General features: G+C 35.1%; 1 protein-coding gene across 21 annotated transcripts in view; it reads left to right on the forward strand.

The window, feature by feature from the left end:
• The window catches only part of CEP57L1 (centrosomal protein 57 like 1), a 79,256-nt gene that overhangs the window by 45,737 nt on the left and 12,970 nt on the right, over positions 1-20,549 (forward strand). For 5 of the 21 annotated variants that reach the window (NM_001083535.3, NM_001350653.2, NM_001350652.2 and 2 more), the window contains 9 exons: positions 4,320-4,482; positions 5,859-6,038; positions 9,219-9,340; positions 12,934-13,050; positions 14,331-14,408; positions 14,892-14,978; positions 18,126-18,203; positions 18,370-18,563; positions 19,673-19,817. In NM_001083535.3, coding sequence (NP_001077004.1) covers positions 4,323-4,482; positions 5,859-6,038; positions 9,219-9,340; positions 12,934-13,050; positions 14,331-14,408; positions 14,892-14,978; positions 18,126-18,203; positions 18,370-18,563; positions 19,673-19,817 — 1,161 coding nt within the window. In that variant the 5' untranslated portion in view covers positions 4,320-4,322. Of the gene's footprint in view, positions 1-4,319; positions 4,483-5,858; positions 6,039-9,218; positions 9,341-12,933; positions 13,051-14,330; positions 14,409-14,891; positions 15,899-18,125; positions 18,255-18,318; positions 18,564-19,672; positions 19,832-20,549 lie in introns of those variants that run through there. The other 16 variants (NM_001350655.2, NM_001350658.2, NM_001350657.2 and 13 more) reach the window with 10 other exon arrangements.

Raw genomic sequence — 20,549 nt, forward strand, 5'->3', positions numbered from 1 at the left:
GGCTCACTGCAAGCTCCGCCTCCCGGGTTGACGCCATTCTCCTGCCTCAGCCTCCTGAGTAGCTGGGACTACGGGCGCCCACCACCACACCCGGCTAATTTTTTGTGTTTTTAGTAGAGATGAGGTTTCACCATGTTGGCCAAGATGGTCTCGATCTCCTGACCTCGTAATCCGCCCGCCTCGGCCTCCCAAAGTGCTGGGATTACAGACATGAGCCACCGCGCCCAGCTGCGTTTTCTTTATTTGACTCTGTAGCTATCTGAAATTTGTATTGATGTATGGGGCAAGATGAAGCCTTAAATGGATTTTTTCCCCATTTTTTTCTTTTGTTTTTGAGACACAGTCTCACATTGTTGCCTGTGCTAGTGTGTAGTGGCGCAATCTCGGCTCACTGCAGCCTCCACCTCCCAGGTTCAAGTGATTCTTCTGCCTCAGCCTCCCAAGTAGCTAGGATTACAGGCATCCACCACCACGCCTGGCTAATTTTTTGTATTTTTAGTAGTGACAGGGTTTCACTGTTGGCCAGGTTGGTCTCGAACTCCTGACCTCATGATCCGCCCACCTCTCCCTCCCAAAGTGTTTCCCCAATTTTTCTAACATCATTTATTGGATGATCAACAAATGAATAGCTGAATCCCATTGAAGTATTTATGTTACATTCGTGTATTTACTAGTTTCTATTGACCAGTTTTTATTGTCACATCTTAACATTTTGGTGATTTTATATTATAAATAATACATTATATAATTATTATGGGATATCTATAAGTAAGTTCCACCACCACAAATTATCTTATTCAGTTATAATAAGATAATAATAAGATATAATAAGTTATAGTACTTCCTAAAGTACTATACATTAAAAAATAAAAGAGTTAGTCCAGCCTTACTGTGTTTGCTCTTAAGGTAAGTTAGCATAGATGCATACATAAAGAAAAAAACAGATCAAAGAAACTGAGCTGTTGATCCTTCTTCAGTTTCTCTAAGGAAAAATCCAAACTTGGAAGAAGTAGCAGTTACAGCAAACAGAGATTCCTTTATTTCAAAAGTCTTCTATAGTATCTCTGACTGCCCCCTAATGTCGTCTCCCTAGCAGTCCTATGGAATAAGTGTTTTCCTCTATAAAAAGTAAAAATGCTTTGCAGTAAAGTGTTTGTGTCTAGAGCATTCTTTTTAGGGGGATAGTTTTTTTATGCAATGGGTTCTTAGTTGCAGCCAATTGGGGTATCTTAATTTTATAAACCATAAAAACAGTGAGTAATTTCCCTGGTTGTTCACAAGCTGTCAAGAATGGTTTCAGGAAAACCAACCCAAATGCCCATCAATGATAGACTAGATAAAGAAAATGTGGTACATATATTCCATGGAATACTATGCAGCCATAAAAAGGAATGAGATCATGTCCTTGGCAGAGACATGGATGGAGCTGGAAGCCATCATCCTTGGCAACCTAACACAGGAACAGAAAACCAAACACTGCATGTTCTCACTCATAAGTGGGAGTTGAACATTGAGAACACCTGGACACAGAGAGGGGAACAACATACACCAGGGCCTGTGGGTGGTAAGGGGAGGGAACTTAGAGGACGAGTCAATAGGTGCAGCAAACTAATATGGCACATGTATACCTATGTAACAAACCTGCACGTTCTGCACATGTATTCCATTTTTTGTTTGTTTGTTGTTAGAATAAATAAAGAAAAAATAAATAAAAATTTTAAGAAAAAAAAAAAAGGTACAACTTGAGTTTCTCAGGCTTGATACAAATGAGGTTCACATTTTATAGCCTTTTGCCCTTACTTGAAGACACCTATAAAATGTTCCATAAGAATTCCTGAGGTCTTTTCAGTTACCAACAGCTAGCTAAGTCTGGTATCAGAAATACCGGAATCCTAGAGATTGTGATTTAGGTACTTCTCTGTATTTTCAGAAATTTTTCCCTAGAAATATTTCTCATATGTGCCCATGAATGTATCCCTTCCATCTGTGCTCTCTCTGTTTCTCTGTTGCTCTCTCGCTTTCTCACTCTTGTTCACTGTCTCTCTTGCTCTCTCTCTCTCTCTCTCTCTCTCTCTCTCTCTCTCTCTCTCTCTCTCTCTCTCTCTCACTGAATACTACTAACTGATGCACCAGAAAGGGGCCAAAACTGTGTTAGCAATCTGACTCCCCCTCCATTGTCATGTAACATCTTACACAAAGCAGGGAAGCTAATGCCTTGATATTTTATAGAGATATTGGTGAAACATTTCTCAGTTTTTATTTAAACTCTCTCTCTTTTTAGAACCCACATATGAGTCCATGGCACTAGGTCAGAGATAAATTAGAATGACCACCATCATAGTCTACTCAGAATCACTCCTCCTTTCCTTAGTCATTTAAGGCTTTTATTTTGGATCAAGCCTTTTGTAGTTACTTCACCTTCTTTCAGAGTGAGTTTTTCTCCCAGGATGCTTCAGTGCTTTATATAAATAAGCTTCCAGTAGGCTTATGCACTTGTTTACAACACAGGACCAGATTATAAAGGTTAAGCTGAGATCCCATTACAATGAGAATCTCTGAGCTCTGTGTCACAACATAACTTGTCCTCTCATCTCTTTACTGTTTTCTTTCTTTTTCTTCATCTTGTTTTTATCCTATCAGTGGATTATTCTGCTTGTGCCCACTTTAATATGTGTCTACACATTTAATTTAAATAAACTGTAGTCTACTTTTTAACTTACTGGCAATCTTCTAACTAGTCATTATTTCATATACATTAAAAACCTCAAATTTGGACCAGTTTTTTAACTGGTACAAAATCCGGTTTGTGAAATAATATTATACTTAGGTCAGAGGAAGCAGAGACCTCCCAAGGACTTCAGTGTGTAGTGACAAATAGCAAAATTTCATTCTTTATGTCATTGGAGAAACCCACCCGGAGCTGAAAACTAAGTCAGATTTCTTGAGTAGCTCCAGTATTCTTGGGATAGCTTTAACAACTTACCTCTCTCTGAAGATGTACAACCATCTTCAGGATTTACGTACTTTAGGGCCTTACCTCCACTTTATAGTGAGCCAGCTGTGACTAATGTTGATCTCTTGTTTTTTGAGGGAACAACAACTTAGATAGATGCGGTATCCCATGGGGAGCAGGCAGTGTCTGAGATAGCTGGTACTAATCACAATAGCAAAATATGGTTACCTTGCAAGAACAAAAAGCATCAAGTATCTTAGCAAACCTTAGGCTTTATAGCCTCTAATTTAGACCAATCAGAATGTTCTAGGAGATTGCCAATCATGGCAATGGCTAAAGTAGAAAATTCTAGGAAGTGAAGTGTGCCTTCTGCCCTTCCAGAAAATACTATCCTGGGAAGTGCCTGCCTTTGCCTTGTGAATTGAGGAGGTGGTGAAATCATGGAAAATGTACAACTCTCAAAAATCAAAATAGGCTAATGTTATAGTGTAATTCTTGGATTTCCATTTTGAAGCAAGCTTTCTTGCTTAAAATTCTTCCAGTGAGTTATTTTTTTGTAAGCAGTTATCACCTTATGTGATTATGAATTAATTTAATTAACATTGACTGGAATCTATTAAAAAATAGAATACATTTCTAAAATATTTAAATTGCAGAAAGGAAAATAAAATTATTTGGAAATTTTAGACCAAAAATTACCTGCTTAAATGGTTAAAAGGGCTCTCTTACCAAAACAAAAACAACAACAAAATAAAAACCAGACTAACAAAACTAAGTAGTCTAGATTCTTCAGATTTGGAAACTTTCTAATCTAGATGATTAAAATGCTAATACATTAAGCAGAGGTGTGTCTTATTCAAAGGTTAAATTCCGATATTTCATATATCCAAAATTACCCTTGAAAATCCCTTAGGAAGCCATACATTAGAATTCAACAATCAGTATTAGAGAATCAGTGTATATTGTTGGTTTGTGTTTAAAAGCTCAGTTATCTTTTAGAATATGTACTTTCTCTTTAAATCCTAGAGTCACACTGCTTATAGAGAAGTGCTCAGACTATGATAGGTATATGGGATTTATGGGTAACTGAGAAACCAGTAAATTCAAATCACTCATGTGATGCTTACTCCAGGGTATATGATTATTGAAAATCAGGCAGAATTGTCAGTACTGCTTACACAAGAAATAGTAACTTTTCTTTCTTTTATTGCCAAGCCTATTAGAGTTGAATTTATAATTAAGTTCATAAAGATACAACTCCACAGTATATGATTATGTTTTTAAAGTTTCACCTGAATTTTTGTATAATGCATTTACCCTTAAAATAGGAAAGCATGATACTATATCATTCCTTTATTCTCTACAGATAATGGATTCTGAATTAATGCATAGTATAGTAGGAAGCTATCATAAACCTCCAGAAAGAGTATTTGTTCCCTCATTCACCCAGAATGAACCATCTCAGAATTGCCATCCTGCAAACTTAGAAGTTACCTCTCCTAAGATACTTCATAGCCCAAATAGCCAAGGTAATGCTGATATAAAATTTGAAGAATGGTAAAAACATGCTATAAAAAACTTTTCATATTTATGTGGAATACAATATGATTGCATATTTAATCTTAACAAAACTCCTAACTTTGATTCTGTTGCTAAAAGTTTCTATGAACTTAGACAAATTACTTGACATTTTTTATTTTGGCTTCTTCAGCCATAAAATGAAGATTAATACAACCAGCTGGACACATATCACAGAGTTATCATAAAAACATCATTTGAAAACAGGAAAATACTCTTTGAAGAATAAAAGGTCAGATTTGGAATACTAAACTAGATGATTAGAATGTTAGTGAATTAAATGGAATTGCATCTTATTCAAGAATTAGATTCAGAAATTACATATATCCAAAATTATTCTTGAAAATATTTTAGGAAGCCAGTATATCAGAGTAACTACAAAATACTAGTATTTTAACGTTTAAAATAGAAATGTAGGAGGATCTTAAAATTGAATTAGGAAAACATTTTATTACTCCAGGCATATTTTAAGCTGTGCAAATTCTTTTCTGAGATGCTGATATCACCTACTTTTAAAATCTTCTATAATAATGGTTGCTGTTAATAAATAAACTAGTTTTGTGGAATAAACTATAAGAAATAATAATGCAAATCAATGTGCCAGCTACAGATATCATGTAAAGAGGAATAAATATAATTTATTTATCTCATTTATAAAAACAAAATGGTAATCTCTAGCAAGCATCTTTCTAATTTGATATAAACTATATGACAGTTAAAACTCTGAACTTATCTGAAGCATGAAGATATTAATATAGTTGAATATAAGTCACAGTAGTATAGAATACTATTATCTTTCAGGTCTGACATCAGGTAAACCATTAGGTTATAATTATCCTGGTTCTTAATACTGCATCATGGACAAAGAAACAGTAAATATGTGTGATTTGACTAAAACGGAATACCTCAAGAACTGAGAAAAAAAGCCTATAACTTTAAACCTAAATTGCCATGTTAATTAGTAGAAATTATATTTTAATGTTCTTATTCATATTTATACTCTTATGCTCCCCAGACTGTACATTGTCTTTAAGTCCTTTCATTTGTAAATATTTTATTAAATTAAAATTGTGGTTATTACCTTTCTCAGTCTTAGAAACCACTAAATACAATAATAGATATAGTGTTTTTACAAGATATATTAGAGAGAAAATGTGCGCCTCTTCAAAGTGTTAGTCATTATTTTTCATTTTTTGAAGAATATGCATTACTTGTACATTTTTCTGGCTCAGTAACAAAAATATACTGCTTATTTTTCTTATGTTACTTTGATTGTAAGTGTTCAGAAACTTTCACTTAAAATATCAACAAAATTTTTTTTCAACAGCTCTTATTTTAGCCTTAAAAACTCTTCAGGAAAAAATTCATCGTTTAGAGCTGGAGAGAACACAAGCTGAAGATAACCTGAACATTCTTTCCAGAGAAGCAGCACAGTATAAGAAGGCCTTAGAGAATGAAACAAATGAGAGAAATCTGGCACACCAGGAGCTGATAAAGCAGAAAAAAGGTAAGAAATGCAGTAGTTCTCAGAAACCGGGGGTTACTGGAGTTTACAGTTCAAAAATAATAAACCTAGTCTAAGCCGATGTACTCAGATATCTTTATTCTTATATATATTCAAACTTCATGACTTTGTTCTCAGACCTTTTGATATTTGTGAGAAAAAGATACAGTTTTGAACTTACCTCTATCATATCTTACTTATCATAATTCATAAATTCTAGAAATTAAAGGAAAAATTAAGATTTTAGACAAGTTGTGTTTAAAAATTAGAATATTTTCAGAATAGCCAACAAACTCCAATTTAACCCGTAATTGAATATTTATTTTTTATTTTATTTATTTGTATTTGCAGTTAACACTAAACTTTAGAATTTGAAATACAGAACAACACTAGTAATTAAACAATGTAAAACCAATAAAAATGAATACAAAAGAATTTTATTTAATGAGAGGAAAGCAAGGTTAATTAGAAGACATAGGCAAATGGGGGAGGCTTCTGTGGAAATTATGAAAAATTTTAGAAATTTAGAACATAAGTCTTTTAAGTAATTTCACTTCAAAACTTAAGACTTTCTTTTTCCTTTTTACACTACACTCATCCTCATAAACAAGGCTCAAGTTTGTGTTTCAACTTAGAAGTAGAATGAACAAATGGGGAGAAAAATATTTCTGAGGTAATTGGACAAAAGTAGAAGAAAGGGGTGAGGAAAGTAAAGAGTTAAAGGATTAGAAATAGGTTGCTTTCTGCTGTGGAATTAACTGTTCTGCCAGCAGTCAAGAACAGGGGAAAATGAGAGTGGTAGATGCATATACTTGAGTTTCCTGAAAGAGAAGAAATATATTGATAGGTAAGAAACTTTCAGCCTCTGTTTTTCCAGATGATGTTATTTCCATCAACAACCAGGATATTTATCATCCCACAAGTTACTGACATCCTCCTCTTTCAGAAGTGTGCCCTCTGAATTTTTAGGAGGAGACAATATTAAACCAGTTCTGTGTAATTAATGAGCTGTTTACAAATGTATTTTCATAACTCTGGGAGAGTCAATACTCAGAGATAAAGGAGGCCTTGAACTTTTAGCTCTTGATGAATTCACATAGTACATTTCTTGTGATAACCAAATCTCTGATCTATATGATAATCAGGTAATTGACTGGTTATTATTTTGTCTTTTTATTTTATTTTATTTTATTATTATTATACTTTAAGTTTTAGGGTACATGTGCACAATGTGCAGGTTAGTTACATATGTATACATGTGCCATGCTGGTGTGCTGCACCCATTAACTCGTCATTTAGCATTAGGTATGTCTTCTAATGCTATCCCTCCCCTCTCCCCCCACCCCACAACAGTCCCCAGAGTGCGATGTTCCCCTTCCTGTGTCCATGTGTTCTCATTGTTCAATTCCCACCTATGAGTGAGAACATGCGGTGTTTGGTTTTTTGTCCTTGCGATAGTTTACTGAGAATGATGATTTCTGATTTCATCCATGTCCCTACAAAGGACATGAACTCATCCTTTTTTATGGCTGCATAGTATTCCATGGTGTATATGTGCCACATTTTCTTAATCCAGTCTATCATTGTTGGACATTTGGGTAGGTTCCAAGTCTTTGCTGTTGTGAATAGTGCCGCAATAAACATACGTGTGCATGTGTCTTTGTAGCAGCATGATTTATAATCCTTTGGGTATATACCCAGTAATGGGATGGCTGGGTCAAATGGTATTTCTAGTTCTAGATCCCTGAGGAATCGCCACACTGACTTCCACAATGGTTGAACTAGTTTACAGTCCCACCAACAATGTAAAAGTGTTCCTATTTCTCCACATCCTCTCCAGCACCTGTTGTTTCCTGACTTTTTAATGATTGCCATTCTAACTGGTGTGAGATGCTATCTCACTGTGGTTTTGATTTGCATTTCTCTGATGGCCAGTGATGGTGAGCATTTGTTCATGTGTTTTTTGGCTGCATAAATGTCTTCTTTTGAGAAATGTCTGTTCATGTCCTTCGCCCACTTGTTGATGGGGCTGTTTGTTTTTTTCTTGTAAATTTGTTTGAGTTCATTGTAGATTCTGGATATTAGCCCTTTGTCAGATGAATAGGTTGCAAAAATTTTCTCCCATTCTGTAGGTTGCCTGTTCACTCTGATGGTAGTTTCTTTTGCTGTGCAGAAGCTCTTTAGTTTAATCAGATCCCATTTGTCAATTTTGGCTTTTGTTGCCATTGCTTTTGGTGTTGTAGACATGAAGTCCTTGCCCATGCCTATGTCCTGAATGGTAATGCCTAGGTTTTCTTCTAGAGTTTTTATGGTTTTAGGTCTAACGTTTAAGTCTTTAATCCGTCTTGAATTAATTTTTGTATAAGGTGTAAGGAAGGGATCCAGTTTCAGCTTTCTACATATGGCTAGCCAGTTTTCCCAGCACCATTTATTAAATAGGGAATCCTTTCCCCGTTGCTTGTTTTTTCAGGTTTGTCAAAGATCAGATGGTTGTAGATATGCGGCATTATTTCTGAGGGCTCTGTTCTGTTCCATTGATCTGTATCTCTGTTTTGGTACCAGTACCATGCTGTTTTGGTTACTGTAGCCTTGTAGTATAGTTTGAAGTCAGGTAGCGTGATGCCTCCAGCTTTGTTCTTTTGGCTTAGGATTGACTTGGCAATGCGGGCTCTTTTTTGGTTCCATATGAACTTTAAAGTAGTTTTTTCCAATTCTGTGAAGAAAGTCATTGGTAGCTTGATGGGGATGGCATTGAATCTATAAATTACTTTGGGCAGTATGGCCATTTTCACGATATTGATTCTTCCTACCCATGAGCATGGAATGTTCTTCCATTTGTTTGTATCCTCTTTTATTTCATTGAGCAGTGGTTTGTAGTTCTCCTTGAAGAGGTCCTTTATGTCCCTTGTAAGTTGGATTCCTAGGTATTTTATTCTCTTTGAAGCAATTGTGAATGGGAGTTCACTCATGATTTGGCTCTCTGTTTGTCTGTTATTGGTGTATAAGAATGCTCGTGATTTTTGTACATTGATTTTGTATCCTGAGACTTTGCTGAAGTTGCTTATCAGCTTAAGGAGATTTTGGGCTGAGACAATGGGGTTTTCTAGATATACAATCATGTCATCTGCAAACAGGGACAATTTGACTTCCTCTTTTCCTAATTGAATACCCTTTATTTCATAGATATAAGTATACAGTTAAGCTCAGCCCAGTCTCGTTGTACTCTTCTAGAGAAGCAACTAGAATATACAAAGAGAATGGTTCTCAACGTAGAGCGAGAAAAGAACATGATCCTAGAACAACAGGTGAGCATATTTTCTATAAGGAATGATAATATAATTTTGTATGTTTTTGAAGAATATTTTAATTTCACGGGAAAATTCAAAGGCAAAGGTGGCATAATGTTAGAATGAGGTCTAACTTACGTGTAATTGGAGTTTCAAAAGGAAAGGAAAGGAAAATGGGGAAAAGCAATATTTGAAGAGATAATGGCTAAGAATGTTACAAAATGTATTAAAAAGTAAAATTACTAGCCTGGCCAACATGGTGAAACCCCATCTCTACTAAAAATACAAAAATTAGCCGGGCTTGGTGGCAGGCATCTGTAATCTCAGCTACTCAGGAGGCTGAGGCAGGAGAATCGCTTGAACCCGGGAGGCAGAGGTTGCAGTGAGCTGAGATTGTGCCGTTGCACTGCAGCCTGGACGACAGAGCAAGACTCTGTCTCAAAAAAAAAAAAAAAAGTAAAATCTTAAAAGCATCCAGAAAAAAAAAATTACACTCAAAGAGACAACAATTAAAGTGATAGCTGACTTCTCAACTCAAAGTACTGAACCCAGAAGACAAGGAACTGATAGAGTTAAGGTGTTAAAAGAAAATAAGTACTGGTCTAGAATTCTATGCCCGGGGGAAGTATCCTTCAGAAATAAAGATATTTTAAGACTAAAAAGACTGAGATATATTTGTTACTAGTAGGTCCACTCTAAAGAGAACACTAAAGGACATCAGACAGAAGGAAAATGACCTTTGGTAGAAGGTCAGAGATGCAGGAAGGAATGAAGAGCAATGAAGATGGTAAATATGTGGATAAATCTAAATTAATATTATATAAGGCAACAATAATAATGCTTTGTATGGTTTAAATATAAAGAATTAAAATTCATCAGAACAATGGCTTATATGTTAGGAAGAAGTAAAGTAGTTTAAAGTGTTCTAATATCCTTGCATTTTCTTGGCAGAAGGGTAAAAGTACCAATCAATACTGGATATTGATGGGTCAAATACATAACAGATTTTTAAGGAACTAGAGAATTTAATTCTAAAATTTATATGGAAAAGCAAAGGTCCAAGAACAGCCAAAGTATTCTGAAGAAGAATAAGATGAAAGTCTTTCTCTAGTTGATATTGAAACAAATTATGATCCTTTTTAATAGCTGCTCTATGAACTAAAATGTGTATTCTTAACTAACCACAGTCTGCCATAAATCTGTATTAAAATATTTCACATGTAATGTAGGATCCTCTTTTAGTATGCTTCCTCTTATTCCCCTTTGTGCTATAGTTTTCATACATTTTATTTCTGCATTTGTCATACAACCCACAATACATTATTATTTTTGCTTCAAATGGTCAATTATCCTTTCAGGAAAATTAGGAAACAAAAATATGTATTTTTTACCATTTTCTGTGCTTTTTATTTTTGTGTAGATTTTGTTTTCCATTTGATATCATTTTTCTTCAGTCTGAAGGAAAATATCAGAATGCTAAGTATTGTCTTAGCATTTATTTATCTGGAAAAGTCTATTTCACTGTCATTTGTGAAAGATATTTTGGCTGGATATAGAATTCTAGGTGACATCTTTTCTTCTTTAAGCACATTGAAGATTTTGTTCCTGTTGCCTTCTGGATCTCATAGTTTCTAATCAGAGTTCTTCTCTGTATTCCTCTATGCAGAATGTGTCATCATTTCTCAGGCTGCTATTAAGATTTTCCCCTTTATCACTAGTTTTCAACAATATGTTGCTAAGTATTTTTTTTTTAATGCTTGAACCTTTTGAGATTCTTGAATCTGTCAGTATTTTTCATTAAATTGGAACATTTTCAACTATTATCCTTCAAATAATTATTCTGTCCCACCTCTCTCTCTTCTTCTCTGGGACTTCAACTAAATGTTATTAAACCACAGGTTACCAAGACTCTGTTTATTGGTATTGTTTTTGGTTTTGTTTTAATTAATAGACTTTTATCTTTTTTATTTTTTTTGGAGTCAGAGTTTCACTCTTGTCGCCCAGGCTGGAGTGCAGTGGCACAATCTTGGCTCACTGCAACCTCCACCTCCCTGGTTCAAGCAATTCTCCTGCCTCAGCCTCCCAAGTAGCTGGGATTACAGGCGCCCGCCACCACACCCAGCTAACTTTTTGTATTTTTAGTAGAGACAGGGTTTTGCCATGTTGGGGCAGGCTGGTCTCAAACTCCTGACCTCAGGTGATCCACCCACCTTGGCCTCCCAAAGTGCTGGGATTACAGGCGTGAGCCACCACGCCCGGCCTAGACTTTATCTTTTACAGCCATTTTAGGTTTATAGAAAATTGAGCAGATAGTATAGAAAGAGTTCTTGCTCCCTCACGGTTGCCCCTATTATTAATACTTTACATTGGTATGGTTATAAATGCCACTACAAAATAGCATATAGATGTGCGTGCGTGTGTGTGTGTGTGTGTGTGTGTGTGTGTGTGTGTGTGTGTGTATAACTTTCCTTTTCTCTGTGTTCTTATGTTTTATTCCTCTGATAGCTGCTTTTCTATGTTAGAGAGAGGGTAAGTTAATGAGTATGTTTGGTCACCTTGTAAATAACACTATTTAATACAGGTTTTATCAATAATGGTTTTCTTAGGCCAGACTTGGTAGCTCACGCCTGTAATCCCAGCACTTTGGGAGGCCAAGGCGGGCAGATGACTTGAGGTCAGGAGTTCGAGACCAGCCTGAGCAACACGGTGAAACCACGTCTCTACTAAAAATACAAAACTTAGTGTAGGGCATGGTGGCAGGCGCCTGTAATCCCAGCTATTTGGGAAGCTGAGGAGGGAGAATCGCATGAACCCAGGAGACAAAGGTTGCAGTGAGCCAAGATTATGCTGCTGCACTCCAGCCTGGGCAACAGCAAGACTCTGTCTCAAAAAAAAAAAAGAAAAGAAAAGAAAAGAAAAGTTTTCCATAATAGAATTAATTTATATTCTATACAAAGATGCATAGACGAGTTTGTTTCACTGATGCTAATATAACACATCTAATCTGCACTTTTTTTTTTTTTTTTTTTTTTTTTTTTGAGACAAGGTCTCACTCTGTTGCCCAGACTGGAGTGCGGTAGCACAGTCACTGCTTACCATAACCTTGACTTGCCAGGCTCAAGCAATCTTCTCATCTCAGCCTCCCAAGCAGCTGAGACTACAGGTGTGCATGCACCACCATGTCCAGCTGATTTTTAAGTTTTTTGTAGAGGAGGGGTCCCGTTATGTTGCCCAGGCTGGCCTCAAACTCCAGGGTTCAAGCAGTCCTCCCACCTCAGCCTCCCAAAGTGCTTGAATTACAAGTATGAGCCACCACGCCTGGCCTTTTTTGCGTGTTATATTTGCTCCTTAAAAGTGTTTGATTTTCAGAAAAAAAAAATTAAATTTAAATTTTAAAAATTATGACTTTAAGGTTGAAAAAAATAAATAACAAAAAGTATTTGATTTTCTTGTTTTTTGCTTGTAAGCATCTAAAGTATGTGTGTTTGTTTATGTACATGTTTCTTAAGATATTTATATTGTGTTTTGAATTCTCAGAAATTGTATTATTCTTGTTCCATTGGCATTACTTGCCAAATTCAGGGTTGCTATTTTATTTTTATCCTTTCTAGGCCCAGCTTCAGAGGGAAAAAGAACAAGATCAGATGAAGCTGTATGCAAAACTTGAAAAGCTTGATGTCTTAGAAAAAGAGTGTTTCAGACTTACAACAACTCAGAAAACTGCTGAGGTAAGCTTTCTTTGAAGTGATGACAACAGGAATGAATCTTTAGTGTTAAGCATAATTGGTATTTTATGTGAATGTAGAGTAAATCTTAGATTTATAAAACTTCATTTACAACTTTTTATAATCCAGATATGAATTCTCACCTATAGAGTGAAAAGTTAATGCGTTCTGTCACAGTATGAATGAGCTGTCTTTTGATGTGAAATTGTAATTTTGACTTCTAATATGGCAGGATATTTTCATTTGTCAGATACTTTACCTAAAGGGTATTGAAAAATTGTCTTTCACCACTTGTAGTCAAATTAAGCCTATACCAGTTCCCCTCTTCATCCTTTTTCCCTCCAAATCTTTTCCATTTTATAGGGTTTTCTCACAGTCGTACTTCCCCTAGGAAGTCCTCCTTGAACTCTCCAACACTCAGGAAGTTCTCCCTTTGAAATAGTACTGTCCTCCTATTCTGAACCACACCACAGATGTAAGACATAATACTTACATATATAAGGTTATATGTATATATGGTGCCTGTCAAGTTATTTCCTTGCTTTGTTGTTTTGTTGTTTTATGAATATTGCTCTTTTTTTCTTTTCATACAATACAGGTTGGGTGTCCTTAATCCAAAAATCCAAAATCTGATATACTCCAAAATCCAAAACTTTTTGAACACTAATAATAATGTTCAGAAGAAATGTTCACTGGAGCATATAGGATTTTGAATTTTTGGATTAGGGATACCGAACCAGTAATGAAAATATTCCAAAATCTAAAATATCTCTGGTTCCAAACACTTAAGATAAGGGATCCTCAATCTGTATAAGCTCTTAAGTAACAAGGACCACATTGTATATTTCTATTATGTCTTTTCACTCTTCTCCCAAAAGTACACTCTTATCACATATATGCAAATAGTAGAATTTTTTTTTTATGTTTTGAATGAAACGTTGAGACCCAAGACTATAATTGTTTGACCTGCTACACCTTTAGTACCCTTAAAAGTTTCATCATAATGATTTTGTTGCTGGAAGTTAATAAAGCCTGTGTGTGTGTATATTCTTTGCTTTCCCTTTGTTCTTCTTGTATGTAATAGAAGGTAAAGAAGCAAAGAAAGAAGTGGGAAGAAAGCCAAGAAAAATCTTAACATCTTGTGCCATTCCTTTTTCTTATTTTCTGCCTTAATTTGCCAAACTCTTAAGAATCAAGACCCCCTAGGACTCTATTTGGAAAAGAAACAAATGATATTTGGCTCTAGTTTTTATGTAACAATCTTAGTTTTTACTCTTTTGCAGGACAAGATTAAACATTTAGAAGAAAAACTTAAGGAAGAAGAACATCAGCGTAAGCTATTTCAAGACAAAGCTTCTGAGGTAAATATAGCACTATATAATCTATCACAGTAAACCATATATGTTTTATTATATTTTTATTTTCATTAACTGAAGCCTATGTTCTAGATTCTAATTTCTGCTTCCTAAATTGTCTTTTCGTTACAATAATGAAATTCTCAGTCAGCCAGTATGATACATGGATGTATTACCAAGAGGTCTTTTTTAATCTTTTGAAATTCTGACAAATACATATATTCTCAGTTGAAGGAACTCCTAGGATAGATTGTTTTCAGTTTGATTTCTGTACATATATTAAATAATTTATTCTTTTATAAACAGAAAATTATTGTAATTACCAATAGACTTAGTGACCTTCACATGTACAAAAACGGTATCTTGGATTTTCTTTTCTTTTCTTCTCCAAAAAGCATTTTTATATTTATAAACTTAGACCTGATATCTCATTACAGTGTTTTTGCATGTTACAAATCAATGTTATAACCTTTTTTTTAAATATTACAGCTTCAAACTGGACTTGAAATCAGTAAAATTATAATGTCTTCAGTTTCAAATCTAAAGCACTCCAAGGAAAAGAAGAAATCTTCAAAGGTGTGCATATAAAATTTTTTCCCAAACAAAAATACTGCTAATACTTATTTATATAACCTCTTAATCCTTATACCTACCCCTTTCCAAAAAGGATTTGAAGATATAAAATAAAAGACATGCAATAATGCGTGTCAAGTAATGGATGATGGTTTGGGGTATAAGGACAGAAAATTTCATAAGATTCAGGTTAAAAAAAGTAGCAGCAGTCATGTACAAAATTTAGCTCTGAGTTTGCTTGACAACCAAAGCAAAAAGGAACATATAATGGACAGTATAGCTATCTTTGTGAAATAACAGGAAGCACTCCAGTTTTTCTAGAAAGATTAACATTTTTCTAGTTTTAAACTTCTGGAGAAACATATTTTGTGATAGTTTATAAAAGAGGCAGTAAACAACACAGTAGATACTGACAACATAATAAATCCTGAAAGCAGTTTTATGTAATATATAGACAATAAAAAATAAGGTTTTTCTTATAGACCTGTTAAGTCTGTAAAGTCATTTATATAGGGAATTTATTGTTATATGTAATTTCTATGCTTATTTCTTGTGAATTTGCCCAAAAGTAAGGATTGGAGAGTTAGTACTTTATAGACCAATATTTTGTTTAGATGGATTGATGTTTTGAATGTATGCTATTCAAGTAACCCTTCTTAATTATATATAATGGTATGAAAAAAGTTTTTAATCCCTTTTAATCTTATGATTGTGGAATTATGGTTTTGATGGCCATTATTACTATTTATTCAGATATGAATGGAGTGAGTGTTCTCTGTGCCATTTGTTGTGGGGGACAGGAGATGCTATTTGGGAATTCTGGCCACTGCCATATGCTTAGCTTGTGGATAAAATAATGGAGAGAACAGTAAACTTAACTTTGGCTACTCTTTTATTACGTAAATAAAAATTAATGTTCAATACTTGGGCTGTATTTTTCATAATTTTTTCATTTTAAAGAATTTTCAAACTACAATAACGAACAATATTTCCCCAATATGACTTATTTTGGCTCTTTCCTTTCCTAAATATTTGTTTTGTGTCTTATTTGTGCAATGAGATTCACAGCTACAAAGCCAAATAGAAAAATCACTATAAGTAATTTGCCAGTGGAACACATACTGCCCAGTATGTATGTTTTATGGCATCCTTTCTCTGATGGGTTAATGGAACTTTTTTCAGTTTACCTATTTATTATAAAAATAGTGAAGGTACAGGGAGAAGATAAAAGAAATGAAGGAAAGAAAAGGTAACTACTGGAAGAGAAGAGAGTAATTAACAGCAGAATCATTTTATGGAAGTACTTAGTTCAAATCCCAAGTTCACGGGGTATGCAAATAATGATGTCTCTTTTTAAAGATGGAGGGAGTGCTAAAGTTGCTGAAAGTAGGATCAGATTTCAAGAAGCCTCTATGAGAGATCTGCTTCCCATCACACTGTTTCTCCATGTCCTGGACATAGTTCATTCAACTCTTACATCTTGATGTACATAGACTGGTATCTCTAGGTGATAAAAAGATAAGACAGGAATTTGTGAGAAACAGATAAATATATAAGTATAAAACAGTATAATAGAAGATTAATAGAGGTTTAAACAAAGTGTTGTGGTGCTGTGTAGACAAAGGAATATGTGAAAGGTAATTCAAGAGCAATATTAAAGGAAGCCTTGAAGAATTAAATATTGACAGACTGAGATGAGGAAAAATGTGTTATAGTCTGAGGGAATTGTTGGTTTTTCCAGGGACCTATAAGTAATAGTCCAGTAGTGGGGGTGAGATGGGATCATAATGAAAGTTAAAATGGAAAATATAGCTTGGGGTGAGCTAATGGCTGACCTTGAATGCCATGTTAAGAGTTTGAACTTTTATTCTATAAACAGGAACTATTGAAGGCTTCTGAGAAGAGTAGGGACATGATTAGAGTTGTAATTTTAGATGGTAACTGACAGCAGTAGGAGAGTTTTACAAGAGAGAAATCAGATGTGTAGATTTTTGAGAGAATCATATGTGTAGATTCATGTCACCATCACAATAATCAAGATACAGAACTCTTCCACCACTAAAAAACTCCTTCATGCAATCCCTCTATAGCTACACATCCCCTTCCCTGAACATTGGCAACCTCTAATCTGTTCACCATCTGTGTATTTTATTATTTCAAGAATGTTATATAAATGGAATTATGCAGTATGTAACTTTTTGTGGTTGGCTTTTTTCCCTTGAGGTCCGTCCAAGTTGTCGTATGTATCAGTACATCCTTTTTATTTCTGTGTGGTATTCCGCATTATGGATGTACCACAATTTAACCATTCATCTGTTAAAGGATATCTGGAGCCGGGCGCGGTGGCTCACACCTGTAATCCCAACAGTTTGGGAGGCCAAGGCGAGTGGATCATTTGAGGTCAGGAGTTCAAGACCAGCCTGGCCAATATGGTGAAACCCCATCTGTACTAAAAATACAAAAATTAGCCAGGCAGTAGTGGCACACACCTGTAATCCCAGCTACTCGGGAGACAAAAGCAGGAGAATCGCTTGAGCCTGGGAGACGGAGGTTGCGGTGAGCCAAGATCATACCACTGCACCCCAGTCTGGGTGACAGAATGAGACCCTATCTCAAAAAAAAAAGGATATTTCGATTGTTTCCAGGTTTTTAGCTATTACAAATAAAGCTGCTATGAACATTTGTGTACAGGTTTTTATGTGAACATAAGTTTTCATTTTTCTAGGATAAATGCGTAAGAGAACAATTGTTGGGTCATGTGATAAGTACATTTTTAGTTTTATAAGAAACTGCCAAACTGTCTTCCAAAATGGCTGTACCATTTTGTATTCCCACCAACAATATGTGAGTGATTTTATTTTCTCTGTGTGCTTGCCAACATTTGTTATTGTCACTGTTTTTTATTTTGGCCATTCTGATAGATGTGCAGTGATATTTCACTGTAATTTTAACTCGCATTTCCATAATTAATGATGTTGAATATCTTTTCGTATGTTTGTCATACGTATGTCTATGTCAGTGAAATTTCTGTCCATGTCTTTTGCCCATTTTCCAGTTGCATTGTTTTCTGTTGAGTTTTGAGAGTTCTTCATATCGTAAATAACTTTTAAAATAATTTCTTGTTTACGTTTTTTTCTTGCCAATCTCTAGAAAACTAAATGTATAAAGAGACGACCACCTTGGCAAATTTGTTCAAAGTTTGGAGCACTGCCTTTTGTGGCTGAAAAGGTGAGAGGGGATAAAATGAAGATAGTCGTTCAAAAAAACTCCTGTTTTGTTGTAAGTGCTATTTAAATATCTTCAGTCATTTAAAATTATTCTCAGTTGTTTCTTTTCCCATAAGTCTACCAGTGCAAGCTGTTCTGTGAATGCAAGTATGCAAAACTTTTTGCAGATGAGGCAACATCGTGACCCACATATCCTTCAGAAACCTTTTAACGTGACTGAGACTAGATGTCTCCCCAAGCCTTCTAGAACAACTTCCTGGTGTAAAGCTATTCCTCCTGACTCAGAAAAGTCCATTTCCATTTGTGACAATTTATCTGAACTTTTGATGGCAATGCAAGATGAGCTGGACCAAATGAGCATGTAAGTATTTATATTCTTTTTTTTTTTCAAGAGACAGTGTCTCGCTATGTTGCCCAGGCTAGTCTTGAACTCCTGGTTTCAGGCAATCCTCCTGCCTCGGCCTCCCAAAGTGCTAGGATTACAAGCATGAGCCACCGTGCCTGGCCAGTATTTTTATTCTTTATCAGGAGAAGTACCATATCACTTTTTCTTCTTAGTCTTAAGAACAATACCACTTATAAATTCTTAAAGGCGTTACTTAGCCATTTGGACAGTTTGTTGTCCCTATTTTTCATTGTATTTATTACTATTTAAAATTTCAATTCTTTATAGCTACTACTTTTTCATTCTTAGGTATTTCTGTATTCCCAAAATCTGGACTGATAGATATTATTATCATTCTAACATACAGGATCTGATGACCTTAGATTAAAACTCACAAAAGCTTTTATAAGACAGGCTCTCCTTTTGTGTTTTAGAATCTTTTAGCTGAATGAATTATTTCATTAGACAAGTAGGAATGTAATTCCTTGTTTTAGACTCTGGCTGGTCTGCATTACAAATTTTGAAGCATCTATAGTAAAGAAGATTTCCATATGGGATACATTATATTGTGCCCACCTGCTTAAATATATATTCAACAGAAATTCCAGAACTATGTGATTTGGCTGACCAGCTAGTTGATCTAAGACTTCTGTAGAAGATATAACTCTTTCTATTAACAGTATTTCAGTAGGCTAACTCCAAATCCAGAAATTTTTCAGGCAGATACTTCTACAACTGGAATTCTTCCAAAGATCCTATATCAATAACGAGGAAGAAAGCCCTTTAATACCTCTGTTAAAGACATCATACATTTTACTACATTCAGCTATGAGCATCAGGAATTCAGATGTTTTTAAAAGTTGCTTAGCCGTCTTAAGATATTTCTAAAGGTATTTAATTTCAAATCACAGGAGCCTGGTTATATTTACCATAGACTTAATTAACCCTAAAGAAAGAGGCTGTTTTTAAAGGTTAATATTTAACTCTGACTAAAATTTATGATTGAACAGAAAATTGCTTAATTATGGCAAAGAAATATATGCAATAAACTATAATACTGCTTAATATTTGCTATTCTTTCATAGGGAGCACCAAGAACTACTGAAACAAATGAAGGAAACTGAAAGTCATTCAGTCTGTGACGACATAGAATGTGAACTAGAGTGTTTACTCAAGAAAATGGAAATTAAAGGAGAACAAATCTCCAAACTGAAGAAGCATCAAGACAGTGTAAGAAGGCTTTAGTAAGAGATTTTAATAAAAACACAAAATATCTGGATTCAGTGTTGTATCTCTGTATGACTTTCCAAATTTGAGGTCTGTATATGGGATTTAGTGAAAAGATGGATGGTAATCCCTTAGGCCTATGACAGAATAGAGCCATCTGTCCCATTGGAATAACATGGACCTCCTACATAACTCTCCAAGTTAAAATTTTTTAAGTGAGCAAATAAGTTCAGTTATGTATTCAGAAATTGCTTTGGGGAAATTGTGAGGCAGACTAAACTTGCCTTAGCAGCCCTCCAGTTACCCTTTTAGCATTCTTTTTCGTTTTCCTTCTCTCCTCTAATGCCTTAATGATACCCCTTATGTCAGCAGGTCTCTCATTCACTGCCAGACATAAACCTGGCTCCCAAGCAGTGCCCCAATCCTTAAAGCATGATTTCCCCTTTCCCAAAACAAGCTGTTTTATGTTCCATTCCCTGGGGTCCTATACTCAGCTAGCTATAGTGAGTAGAACAGGGATGGTGAAGAAAACTCTGCACTTGTATGTTAAGATGTAATAACTAAGAATAGCTAACAGTTTTCTTATTTTAACAGAAAAATCATGGAATGTAATATTTAATTCCAAGACAATGACTCCGTAGGTTGAACTTGCAGCACTATTACACTGCTGGAGCAGAAAGCAGAGGGAGCCTTTCCCAGGAACCCTCAAGTCACATCATGTAGCCATCTGGCTAT

The sequence above is a fragment of the Homo sapiens genome, chromosome 6 (genome assembly GCF_000001405.40).
Source record: "Homo sapiens chromosome 6, GRCh38.p14 Primary Assembly".
Lineage (NCBI taxonomy): Eukaryota > Metazoa > Chordata > Mammalia > Primates > Hominidae > Homo > Homo sapiens.